The 13,632-nt window shown below is 34.6% G+C and overlaps 1 protein-coding gene across 2 annotated transcripts in view; it reads right to left on the bottom strand.

Moving 5' to 3' along the window:
* The window catches only part of ANKRD62 (ankyrin repeat domain 62), an 87,842-nt gene that overhangs the window by 51,128 nt on the left and 23,082 nt on the right, over positions 1-13,632 (bottom strand). Inside the window, exons 11-16 of one of the 2 annotated variants that reach the window (XR_001753188.2) lie at positions 8,041-8,254; positions 6,237-6,420; positions 4,174-5,097; positions 2,657-2,809; positions 551-621; positions 132-210 (exon numbers count right to left, since the gene is read on the bottom strand). Coding sequence is in view for 1 of the 2 variants with exons in the window: in NM_001277333.2 (NP_001264262.1) it covers positions 2,618-2,809; positions 4,174-5,097; positions 6,237-6,420; positions 8,041-8,254 (1,514 nt within the window). In the remaining variant the exon portion in view is untranslated. Of the gene's footprint in view, positions 1-131; positions 211-550; positions 622-792; positions 2,810-4,173; positions 5,098-6,236; positions 6,421-8,040; positions 8,255-13,632 lie in introns of those variants that run through there. The other variant, NM_001277333.2, reaches the window with a different exon arrangement.

The raw sequence follows: 13,632 nt of genomic DNA, 5'->3' as shown, positions 1-13,632 counted from the left end.
AATATTCCAAACTCTGAAAAAATCTACTTTTGGTCCTCCCAAACATTTTGGACAAGGGATATTCTAGAAAAATAAAATTCCTTTTCAGTGTGACAGAAAATAAGAGATTGACTTATTGAACTTGAACTTACCAAAATTTTCTGAAGCTGCTCAATTTTGTCCGCTCGCTTTTTCATTCTAATTTTTAACACGGCATTTTCTATTTTAAGCCTAAAATATATATTTTAAAATAATTATTCTCAGACATAATTTTTTTTAAATCATATAAATTCTGAACAAACATCTGAAGGAATAATTATATAAATTCTGAGACATTTGAAAAGTAGAAAATTGAGAAACTGTTGTTATTTTTTTACCTTTGTTTTGTGGGTGATGTGTAAAATTAAAAATAATGTAGAAAATTTATGCATTTCAAAATAGCCTAAAGCTGAAATTTTTCCTTGACTTCACATAGACATACTTATTATCTTAACTGATACAATTCTCCTACTACACTACTCATTTGCTTTATAAATACTCAAGATATTTTGTATGTTGCTTTAAACTGTACTTTTGCATGTGGTCTGGCAACTCCTCAGCACGTCTTAGAATCTCTGTGCGTTGATTCTGCATTTCTTGCAACTAAAACAAAGAATTAAAAACAACCTTTAGGTGTGGAAATAACCCAAATGCCCATCAATAGGTGAATGAATGAACAAAATATGGTTATATATAAAATACTGTTTTTAGACTATCACAATCTATTTTAATAAAAAATGATAATCTAGGACAAATCGACCTATTACTTTTTTTTTTTTTTTTTTTTTTTTGAGACAGAGTCTTGCTCTGTCGCCCAGGCTGGAGTGCGGTGGCACCGTCTCGGCTCACCGCAAGCTCCGCCTCCCGGGTTCATACCATTCTCCTGCCTCAGCCTCCCGAGTAGCTGGGACTACAGGCGCCTGCCACCACGCCTGGCTAATTTTTTGTGTTTTTTAGTAGAGACGGGGTTTCACCGTGTTAGCCAGGATGGCCTTGATCTCCTGACCTCATGATCCGCCCATCTCGGCCTCCCAAAGTGTTGGGATTACAGGCGTGAGCCACCGTGCCTGGCCCCTATTACCTGTTTTTTAACTAAATTTTACTGGAATGCAGCCACACCCCTTCAGTCTGCATATTGTTTACGGCTACTTTTGTGCTGTAACTGTAGTGTTGAGTTGTTGCAACAGGGATCTTATGGCTCACAAAGTCTCAAATAATACTACTTGGCCCTTTACAGAAAAGTTTACTGCCTATGCTCTAGGATTAAAACACAGTATTTTTCTTTTCTAATTTCTATTTTATCAGATACTCAAATTTACAAAATTGGTAAAATGGGGAAACATAGGAAATTATAGTAAGCATTTATATTTTTCAATTCCAAACACCACTATATCAACTATAATTTCATTTCTTTTTTGTCTGTTTGCATTTAATTTTTGCTGTAGCAAGAAAACTTGCACTTTTTTTTTTTTAAGACGGAGTCTTGCTCAGCCACCCAGGCTGGAGTGCAGTGGCACCATCTTGGCTCACCGCAACTTCCACCCCGCCAGGTTCAAGCAATTCTCCTGCCTCAGCGTCCCGAGGAGCTGGGACTACAGGCGTGCACCACCACCATGCCCAGCTAATTTCTTTATCTTTTTTAGTAGAGATGGGGTTTCACCATGTTGGCCAGGATGGTCTCAAACTCCTGACCTCAGGTGATCCACCCGTTTCAGCCTCCCAAAGTGCTTGGATCACAGGCGTGAGCCACCGCGCCCGACCCATTTTTAACATTTAAAACTAAGCATCATCTTTCCTTTCCAGGGAAACCAGAAGAAAATTTTAAAACAAACAGAAAAATAATTAAAATAGATAGATTCTCCTATCGAGTGGCAGGGCTCATGTCATCATTAGGAGATAATTTATTTAAAAGTGTCATCTTAAAATGCAGGGATGTCCATTGACATGCCAAAGGAGAAGCCACGTTGTCAAAATGCCCACTTGACCCACCCAAACATCTCAAACCTACCCTTTGCTGACCTTCTATAACCCCATTTGTAAAGTTTTTTGTTTTTGTTTTAAGCAAGAGAAAGTAGACACATACATGTTGGCAAATGCTAACTGTCCATAGTCATATGACTCTGACTATAGACCAATATAAAGTCAGAGCAAGGATTTTCATCAAAATACTAATTTATTCTGCAGAATGGACTTTCTGTACCAGTTAACCAGAAACCCATGAAATAAGTAAGCACAAGTCTTTATTCACACAGAAAAGTAGAGATTAAAAAAAGAAAATTTTCTGAAACATTCCATTAGACATTATCCTCTGAATTAATCTGGCTTGTCTCCACGTGGCAATGAAAGAAATCACTAAAAATATACTGTAAAAAGAAAAAAGAATTCTCTAATCTTCTGTGAGAAATGATGTGTAATTCTCAACTTTCATAAGGGGAAATAGTGTAAGAAAAATATTTATAATTATAAAACATGGCAGAGATTGAGAAATGGATGTATTATAAAGATAATCAAATTTTAATAAAATTAATTATAATGAAAATACAAAAGAAAGCTCTCCACTGAAACTAGTGTCCTGAAACACTTGATATTATTTAACCAGCTACAGAGTAACTGTTGACATGCTAAGTTTCATACATACTTGACTTCTCATCTGGCCTAATTTCTTTTTTAAACTTTGTGCCTCATCTTCTAAATTAATACGACGTTCTGATGAAATCTCTAGCATAGCTTCTAACAGCAATTGTTTGTTCAGGGCATCATCCACTTCTCGTTGAAGCTGTCTCCTGACTACCTGGTAAGATGTTATTTTTGTTACTGATTTTACATATCACTTATTATTAAATTTTGTTAATAATATTTAACTCTAATATACACACTTCGAAAAATACCACCACACACTGATTCTTCTTCTCCTCCTCATGTGTACACATTCCTGTTTATTACTGAATCCAGTTAAGGATAAAGAAGGTGTTATCTTTGTGCCAAACTGGTGCCGTGTTACTCATACAACAGATTCAGCGCACTGATGAATGTGCAATGCTTAAAAACCTTCTGAGGTCTCAAAAAGAAACAGGTATGTGGGTGGGACTGGTGGCAGTGAATTTTACACTGCAGTGTTTTCCGTCTTTTTTATAAGAAGAAGCTCAAATCAACCTCAGAGTTCTTCACATATTCAGTCACCAGCTCAAATCCTTCCAACAGATTTCCACCTCAGAAGAAAACTAACCTTCCAATGGCCTTAGAGGCTCTAGTTAACCTGGCTTCCACTTCTCTCCCTGACCCCAGCTGCTATGTCTCTCTTCCCTACTCCCACCGTTCCTACCACCCCTCATTAGTCTAAAAATGAGGATCCAATGTGAAACTAATAAATCACAGACAGCTAAGCTGATCTTTGTACCGGATAACCTTATATCCAAATGAGAGTCATTGAGCCTTGAAATAAAAATTATGACCACATTTTTGACTGAAAAATTGAAAGTAAGTTATAAATGCCAGTGGGAAGATTAAATCAAATATGGTTTGGCTAACATTTACCACATTTTCCCCATATTATAATGTAAGAAAGATGTCTTTAAAGAATGGAATGTTTGTATCAATATATAATTTGAGACCGAATTATTTTCAGATTTAAGTCAAATTGACATGAATAAAAATAAAATTATACCAACTAAGATACATTAAAAGCTATTGAGGAAGAATAATTATAAAATAGGAAATACACTTTAGTTCATCTGGGAAATCTGGAATTAACTGTCAAAGTAATCTAATTAATTGAATCTATTTCAAAATAACACTTTAGGTATGAATATTTCTTTATATCTGCTTTATCGTAATCCTAAAATGTGGCAACATACAGACATCAAAATTATTTCAGCAGTGTAAGACTACATTATAAATGTTAGTCTATATTAACATTTTGTAACTGAAACGTTTAAAATTTCCTAAGTGTCACATTGTCTTTACTCAAAGGAAAGCATCTCCTAGGTCTAACTTTTATTTGCTGGAAACAAATTCCGTTTCTAAGGTGATATAGCAGAACCGTTTATCATGTATATATTTTGATATTCAACTAGATTCAGTGTTTAGCCATAACCAAATATACTTTAAATTTTACTTCAGGAAGTTTGAAAAATACTTATCTTTCTTGATACTTACTTCTCTTTCTTCTTTCTCTTTTTCATATTGGCATTGTCTTTCTTTTAAAAGAGTGCATTCCTTCATCAACCCCTTATTGTTCTCTTCTAGCTTTCTACACTCAGCTTGAAGTTTTTCTACAGTATCTTCACATTTGACTTGGATATTAATTATTGTTTTCTCCTGATTGTCAGCTTTCTTGCGAGCATCATTACACTGCTGTTGATACAACAGATTTTGGCTTTGTAGTTGAAATAGTCCATCCTCTACAGATTGCTGCTTTCTCACGTATTTTTCCAAAATAGGTTGGTCATTTTGGTACATGTGTTCAATGTCCTCCAATCGACGCTGTGTTCGGCTTAGGACTCCTTGCATGTGTTCTATATGCAACGTCTTTTCTTTGAGAGCCTCTCTTTCATAATGGAGCTCAGTTTCCAGGCCACTGGATGTACTCTCAGCTTTAGAAAGTTGCTGAGAAAGAATCTGAATGTGAGAATTAGTGTCTTCTTGTAAATGACACCATTCATTCACTGTGCTCTGGAAAGCAAGCTGTAGGTCTCTTTTTGATGACTGACGTTGATCATGATCACATAGGGCAGCAGCCAGTCTACAACGGTATGATTCCATTTCTGTTTCCAGTCTTGACATGCTTTGTTTTTCCTTCTGTAGCTCAGAATTGAGCATTGTATTCTCATCCATCAGAACATTAAGCTCTTTACTATACCGGGTTATTGTTTTTGTTAATGCTTCCTCATTCCGCTTGAGAGTCTTTTCAAGGTCTTCATTGTTTTCCTTTATAATTTCAATATCTTTGAAATATTTATTTTCAGTTTCCTGGTTCTGATGTTTTATTGTGTCTATTTCCAGCCTGAGTCTGGCAATTTCATCCCGCATCAAGTGATTTTCCTGCCACAGGTCTCTTTCTCTTTCATGAGTATGAAAATTCTAAATAAAACAAAGAAAACTCTCAACTAGCACCCAATAAAATGACATATTATGATTTCTTCTGAAACTAAATAAGTAATAACCTGTACGTTTATACAATGAAAGAGTTGCCATCTGGATATCCAACTGGAAAAAAAAAGTTGAATCAAAACCTCAAACCTTTTAGAGAGTAAATTCTCAAAAGTTCAAAAACGTATTTGAAGACAGTGAATCTATGAAAGCAAAAAAAAAGAAACCACTAGAAATTCTTTAAGAATCTAATTTTTTTTAAAAGAAGGCTTTTACTGAATTTCAACAAACCCAAAAACATAAATGATTAATAACTATGATTACATTTAGAAACTGGGTTTACACACTAACATCTAACCTTTACTTTCCCTATAGTAAGAGTCTTAGCTCTGCAGATATCTGGACAGATAAAATTTTCCAAATTCCTTAAGTTTCTTTTTCCTGTGACTATTTTATAGATAATTCTACTTTTCTTACATTTTTAGAGTCAGTTTTAACAATGACATGTATTGATAAATGACAGATCTAGGCATTGTACTAAGCACTTTTGTATGCATACATCAATAAATTCATTTAGTTATCACAATTCTGCAGGGAAAGGTTAAAAATAGAAGCAAGCTGCTGGATTTTTCCTAGGTTCTCTGACTCTGCTTCTAGTGGTCCTCCACCACATCACAGTTACTTCCATGGGGTAGATATACAAATACAATAGAAACCTTTTCTTTCAAAACTCAAAGAAGATAAAATTTATAAAGCTCTTCTTAGGAAATCCTGAGATTATGTACTATTATGATAACTTTTATTTCCTTTTCACAATGTTTGAAACCATAATTAATGCAAAATAGGGAAAACTACACTGAACTATGTCACTAGGAACAAATTACTTACCAACAAAATATCACTAAGTATATATATTATGGGATATCATTGTTTTCCAAAGGTCTTTGACCTGAAATAAAATATAACTTTGAAGCCAAGATTTATAATAAATAATTGTAGCTATAAGTATCATTTATTTTTAAGATGAAATAAAATTTGTGGTTTGTTTTAGAACTAAGTCAAAGGGATATTCTAAGTAATATTAATAAAATAAAATTAGAAATGTAAAATTTTACCAAACATTAATTTACCTGATTTGAGTTACTTCTTACAGTCTTCAATTCCACTTCCAATGATTTGAGAGTCAGTTTAGATTGTTTTTTCACTTCAGTTTGTGTCCTATATTGCTCTTCCATTATTTTTAACTCTTCTATATCTTTTTCATACAACTCTTCAGCCTTTATTCTTTCTTCTTCTTGTTGTTGTAAGATAAATCTGTAGTTAAATATACTTATCTTAAAAGCCTTTAAAAACAAAACACTCATATGCTGGTTTATTATCCTAATAAAGTGCCCATGTTCTTGAATATTTTTTCTTTCTAGTTTGCATGTTAATTTCTCACTTCGATGTCTTCCAAAGAAGACATATAAATTGAAAGGTAGTAAGGAATGAACATCCTGCTAATTGATTAGCTTCTGTTACTAGTAATTCTCGTAAATATTATGGAAAAGGATGTTGAAAATTGTTAGCTAAAGTTACAAGTTAAAAATTACCTTTTCTTCACACAGTAATAATTACTCCTCAGTCAGGATGAATCATTTAGAGTTAGCTAATTTTAAAAAAAGTTATTTTTTATAAACAAGTTGATACCTTCACTAGAAATAAATTTTCATCTTCATGAAATACGGCAGGTATCCCTAAACATGATTTACATTGTAAGATAGCACCTCCAGATGCCTTCTTGCAACATGTATCTCCAGATGACAATAATCCAAGACTAAGCTAAAGAATCTAAGATGTTACCCCATACATTTTATGTTTCTTTTTCTGGTAACACTTTTGACTTATTCTGTTGATTAGTATGTATTTTACAAACAATTTTAAAATCCATTCTCAAACAAGACAAGATCTAATATTTAAACAATAAAGAACAATATCTGCCTTCCGCATAGAAGTTTGAATTAATTTAAACTCTGTAGCAGAGACAGATGTTCACTAAGCTAATCAGTAATCACTTTCCATTTTACTTTTCATTCGCTGCATATTAAGAGTAAAACTGGGCCAGGCGTGGTTGCTCACACTGTAATCCCAGAACTTTGGGAGCCCAAAGCCAGCAGATAACTTGCGGTCAGGAGTTTGAGACCAGTCTGGCCAAAATGGCAAAACCTCATCTCTACTTAAAAAAAAAAAAAAGAAATTAGAAAGGCATGGTGACGTGTGCCTGTAATCCCAGCTACTTGGGAGGCTGAGGCACAAGAATTGCTTGAACCCGGAAGCAGAGGCTGCAGTGAGCCGAGATTTCGCCGCTGCACTCCAACCTGGGTGACAGCGCAAGACTCTGTCTCAAAAGGACAAAAAACAAACAAACAAACAAAAAAAACTGGTTAATTTTAAAAATAATTACTCTGGGTGGAGAAAAGTATACATTTCATACTCAAATTATAAATTATAAACTTTCTTAAGAACAACTTAGTAATATTAATCAACGATCTCTTTTAAAAAGCTCCTATACTCTAACCAGATAGCTCTATTTTGAAAAATTTATCCAAAGTAAAGAAATAGAAATGTAGAAAACTATGGATCTGTAAGATGTTTCTTACAGCATTAATACAAAAAATTAAAATCCCCAATTTCAATTTATTAAATAATGAAATTTCCATAGGGTGGAATTCTATATAGCCATTAAAATAATGATTTAAAGGGATATGCAATTAATTATTAGAGAAGTATTCACAATTAACTTGTGATTTTTTATCCAAAAATTTCACATTCCACAATTTTAAGAGGTTTTCTTCTCTATTAAACCCTAGAAGGTAAGTCAGCTATTACAAAAATTATCCTACATATCCTTAGTATAAATAGTTGAAATATTTCTTTAAAACTAGAATGTGATACCTCAAATTACAGAGCTTTTTTTTCCCTTGAAGATTCTGATGCTCTGACTGTGATTTGGTTTTGTCTGTTTCAGATAGTACCTTTTGTAGTACGCTAATATTATTTTTCATTTTTTGAAATTTTACTTTAAGTCGTTCACAGTAACATTTTTGATCCTCTATTGATCTTCCACATGCAGCTGTTGCATTCTTGCTTTTCGATAGGCTAACAAAATCTGTTACCAGGAGAAGACAAAATAGAGATAAAATACATGAGTAGGTTTTTAAATATAAAGGACTATGCATTTCAACATGGCACTCATTCATACACTGAATGAATATGTACATATTAAGTGCTTGCAATGTGGAAAATATTTTAGAAAGCTCTTCAGATAAAACAGACAACACATCTGATCTTGTTTAGCTTCAAGTGTAGTAAAGAACACAGACAAAAATGTGACAATTACAAATTCGGATAGATGCTATAAGAATACATAGCTGTTTTAGTCACGTAAGAGGATCTGACCTATACTTGGCTCAGGGAAGATTTCCCTGAGGAAGAGAAAGAGACACTGAGAAATAAAAAATGAGAAGGAAGCAGTTGAGCAAAGGAGGAAGCAAAGCGCTCTGGCTAGTCTGCGGCACGTGCTGGAGCTCTGCGGCAATCTGCTTCCACCCAAGAGGGAGCAACGGGTGCTGATTTTCCTCCTTACCTGAAACAACCAAAAACAACACAGACAAAATATATTCAACAATGATTTTCAACACAGTGGACTTCAGATAATGAAGATGGTCGTCACTAAAAGACAGGAAACAAATGTAGGCCTTTTTGTTGACAGAGCTTCTTTTGTTGACAGAGCTTCCAGGCCATGACAAAGCGAGAAAATCTGACATAGATTCCCTGAGCTGGGGTGGTGACGCTAAGAATCCGGTAAAACAAAAGCAGAGAGAAATCACAGGACAGAACACTGGAGAGGAGAAAGCAGCAGAGGAAACAAACCCTGGAGATCTGCAGAGGTCCCCTCTAAAGTATTTAGTGGAATAATGAAAAAAATGGATGTGTGCTAGGAAACTTCCTAAGACCAAGGGATGGCGAGCGGTGGAGGGGACACGATAGAAAAAGATGAGGAGAAACCAAGCCTGCTGTTCACAAAGTGCCCAGAAGAGGGTCCAATCCCAAGAGCCAGGCCCAAAACACTCATACTTCACAGGACAACAAATAATCCGAAAACTCTTGCCTCAGGAGTGGCAAATTACTCAAAATCTAAAAGCAAGAACAAAAAGAATTCTGTTTATAAGTAAATCACTGTACCCCAAACAAAGCTCGAGACAATAAGTGAAGGCATGAAAGGTATTTCTTTAAAAATCAAACCACACTTGCAGAAATGTAAATTACAATGTCAGAGGTAAAAACTACAGTGGAGGAAAATAAACACAGATCACAATCGTAAATTTGTCATGATGAACTATGAGAAACCTTCAAGCAACTAATATATAAATCCCCAAATAGAAAGGAACAAAGACAGAAAAGAAAATTGAAAAATAATTGGCCCAAAAATTCTAAACTTGGCAAAATCCATATTCCCACAGATCCAGGAAGGAACTGTCTGGGACAAAAAAAATAAATAAAAGTGTACCATTGTCATTTTCTTATACCATCTATGATGTGGTATAACATTACTTGAAGGTAGACTGTGATAGGTTAAAATTATATACTATAAATCCTAAATAAACCATTGAGATAGCAAAGAGTTACATATAAAAAACCAAAAAAGAAATATGAAATCAAATCATAGAAAATAGCTGATTAATCTAAAGGAAAGCAGAAAAAGAAGGGGAACAAATAATAGCGAGACTAACAGCAATCAAACAGCACAATGACAGACAAACAACTATATTGAATATCACATTATAAATGAAACTGGTCTGCAAGCCTCAATTAAAATGCAGACTGACAGATTCTATAAGAAAGCAATACCCAATTACATGCTGTCTATAAGAAATGTACATTAAATGTAAAGACACAAATCGGCTGCAAGAATAGAAAAAGATACGTGCTAACACTTGACAGAAGACTACTGAGAAGAAATGGTTCAATTAATATCAAAGTAGATTTCATAGCAAAACAATTTCCAGCAATAAATAAGGTCACGTCACAATGATAAAAGTTTCAGTTAATCAAGAAGATATAATAGTCCTAAATGTTTATGCCCCTAATAACATAAGAAATTCAAAGTACATGAGGCCAAAGTAGATAGAACTATAAAAAGAAATAGACAATTTCTAGGTAATCTGAAGTTTCAATACCCTTTACTCAGGAAGTGATAGAACAAGGAGGCAGAAAATTAGCAAGAATAGAGCAGACTTAAACAACACCATGCTTTTCAAGTACCTATGGAACACTTGCCAAAATAGACAATATTTTAGGCCATACAATAAATCTCATTAAAAAGATTAAGTAAAAAGAATGTAAGTCATACAAAGTACATATCCTGACCACAAATCAATGATATTAGAAACCAATAACAAAAATAATGCTAAGAAATACTCAAATACATGAAAACTAAGAAACACACATCTAAATAACCCTGGTTCAAAGAGATGATGAAAAAAGAAAATATTTTGAACTGAATAAAAATGAAAAAATAACATATTGAGGTTGGTAGAATGCAGCAACAACTGCACTTAAATACAAATTTTTAGCACTAAATGTCAATATTAGAAGAGTCTCAAATCAATAACCCTGACTTCTACCTTAAGAAAATGAAAATAAATAAATAAATAAATAATAAAATAAGAGAATTAAATCCAAAGCAAGCAGAGGGATAAAAAACAAAACCACCTGCTGTGGTCTGAATGTGTTCTCAAAAGTTTATATGCTGAAACCTAATCACAAGGGCGGATTTTTAGAGGTAGTCTTATCATGAGAGCCAAGCCCTCCTGAATGGGATTAGTGTTCTTACACAACACACCTCAGAGAGCTCCTCCGCCCCTTCTGCCATGTGAGGACACAGAGAAAAAGAACACATCTATGATCCAGGAAGGTTCCTTACCACACAGCAAATTTGACAGCACCTTGACCTTGGACTCTGCAGACTCCAGAACTGTAAGAAATCATTTTCTACTGTTTATAAGCTACCCAGTCTATGGTATTTTGTTATACTACTGGTTTCAGAAAAAAAAAAAAAAAAAGAAGAAGATCAGCAACACCAAACACTTTGGGAGATTGATAAATGTGAGAAATCTCTATTTACCCTGGCTGATCAAGAAGAAGAGAAAATACAAATTACTAATTTCAGAAATGAGTAATGTCACATGATTACAGACTGTACAGATACAAAAAAAAACCAAGGTGACATTATAATTTTTATGTGTAAACATGACAAAATAGATAAAATTAACAAATTCCTTAAAAGGGAAAATTACTAAATCTTAACCAAGAAGCAATAAATAACCTGAATTGCCCTAAATATAAAAAATAAACTTCAGTCATAGCTGAGGACCGTCCTAGAAAAAGAAATTCAAACTCAGCTAGCTATGGCAGTGAACTCCACTAAACATTTTCAGAAGAAATAATACAATTCAACACTAACTCTCCAAAAAGAAACAAAAAAGAGTACACCCCAACTCACTCTTTAATGTTAGCATTACCCTGAACCAAAACCAGACAATGATATTACCAATAAAAAAAACTCCCTCATGAGCGTGAATGTAAAAATTGAACCAATTTGTGAAACAACCAAGACATCCTCCAATACGTGAATGAATAAACTGTGGTTAAACAGCCAAACAATGGAATATTACTCCATGCTAAAAAGATATGACAAATCAAACCATGAAAATACATGAAGGAACCATACATGCATATTACCAAGTCAAACAAGTCAACCTAAAAAGGCTACTTTCTTTCTTTTTTTTTTTTTTTTTTTTAAGACAGAGCCTTACTCTGTCTCCGAGACTGGAGTGCGATGACACAAACTTGGCTCACTGCAACCTCTGCCTCCCAGCTTCAAGCGATTCTCCTGCTTCAGCCTCCTGAGTAGCTGGGATTACAGGCGCCCGCCACCACACCCGGCTACTTTTTGTATTTTTAGTAGAGACAGGGTTTCGCCATGTTGGCCGGGCTGATCTTGAACTCCTGACCTCAGGTGATCCACCCATCTTGGCCTCCCAAAAGTGCTGGGATTACAGGCGTGAGCCACCGTGCCCGGCCTAAAAAGGCTACTTTCTGTATGATTCCAACTATATGACTTTCTGGAAAATGTAAAACTATGGATATGGTAAAAACATCAGTGGCTGCCAGAGGATGAGGGACACCAGGAAAGGATACACAGGCAGAGTACTGAGGATTTTTAGGGAGGTGAAAATAATGTATATGACACGCATACATGTCAGTGTACCTTAAGACCAAACCCATACGATGTATAGCACCAGTGTACAATGCACACTATGGGCTGCAGGTGATTCTGATGTGCCAATGTAGGCTCATCCATTACAGCACCTGTACCACTAAGGGGAGGGTTACTGATAAGGAGGGAGGCTACATATGTGTGCAGGTAGAGGGTATTTGAAAAATCTCTGTACCTTCCTCTCAATTTTGCTGTGAACATAAAACTGGTCTGATAAATAAAGTCTTTATAATAAACCAATAAAGACTTTATCATAACTTCTTTAGCAAATTGAATCCAACAGTATAATAAAAGGACAATACATCATAAACAAATGGGGTTTTTTCCCAGGACTGCAGGGTTGGCTTAACATTCAAACATCGTTGTTATTTGCCAGATTAACAACGGAAAACAGTAGATCCACAGAATCATCTCGACAGATACAGGCATTTGATACAATTCAACACTCATTGCTGATTTTGTAAAAATGAAAAAGTCTCAGCAAAATAAGAATCCAGGGACCTTCCTCAGCATGATAAAGAACATCTATGATGAACCTACAGCTAACATGTATCATGGTGAAAAACTGAATATGTTCTCCAGAAGATAAAGAACAACACAGGAATGTCTGCTTTCACTGCTTTTATGCAGCATTGTTCTGAAGAGTCTAGTTAGTGCAGTCAGGTAAGAAAAAGAAATAAAAGTCATCCCAGTTGAAAAAATAAATAAAACTGTCTTTGTACACAACCATGACCACACAATAGGTTTACGTAAACTCTAACCTGTGGGCCAGCTTTTTGTCTTCGTCAATGAGCACAGCTGTGTTCATTAATTGTACAGGTTGTCTAGGGCTGCTCTCATATTACAATGGCAGAGTCTATCAGCTACAACAGAGACCCCTTTTGCCACAAGTCTTTAATAAGAGGGTACTTTGAGAAAGAAAAGGTTTGAAAATCTTTGGTCTATGTAGAAAATCGGATCAAATCTACCAAGAATTAATAAGTGAGTATTATTAGTACCAGGACTAATAAGTGAGTTCAGTAAGATTGAAGTATGCAAAACCAACATACAAAAATCAACTGTATTTCCATACCCTCGTGATAAACAATCAGACTAAATTTTTAAGCATATGATTTACAACTACATCAAAAACTGAAACAGAGATAAATCTGATAAACTATAGAAAGACGTATACACTAAAAACTACAAAATATTACTGAGAAAAT

The sequence above is a fragment of the Homo sapiens genome, chromosome 18 (assembly GCF_000001405.40).
Source record: "Homo sapiens chromosome 18, GRCh38.p14 Primary Assembly".
Taxonomy (NCBI): Eukaryota; Metazoa; Chordata; class Mammalia; order Primates; family Hominidae; genus Homo; species Homo sapiens.
Note: the sequence above shows the minus strand (reverse complement) of the source record. Positions and strands in the feature narration are given on the sequence as shown.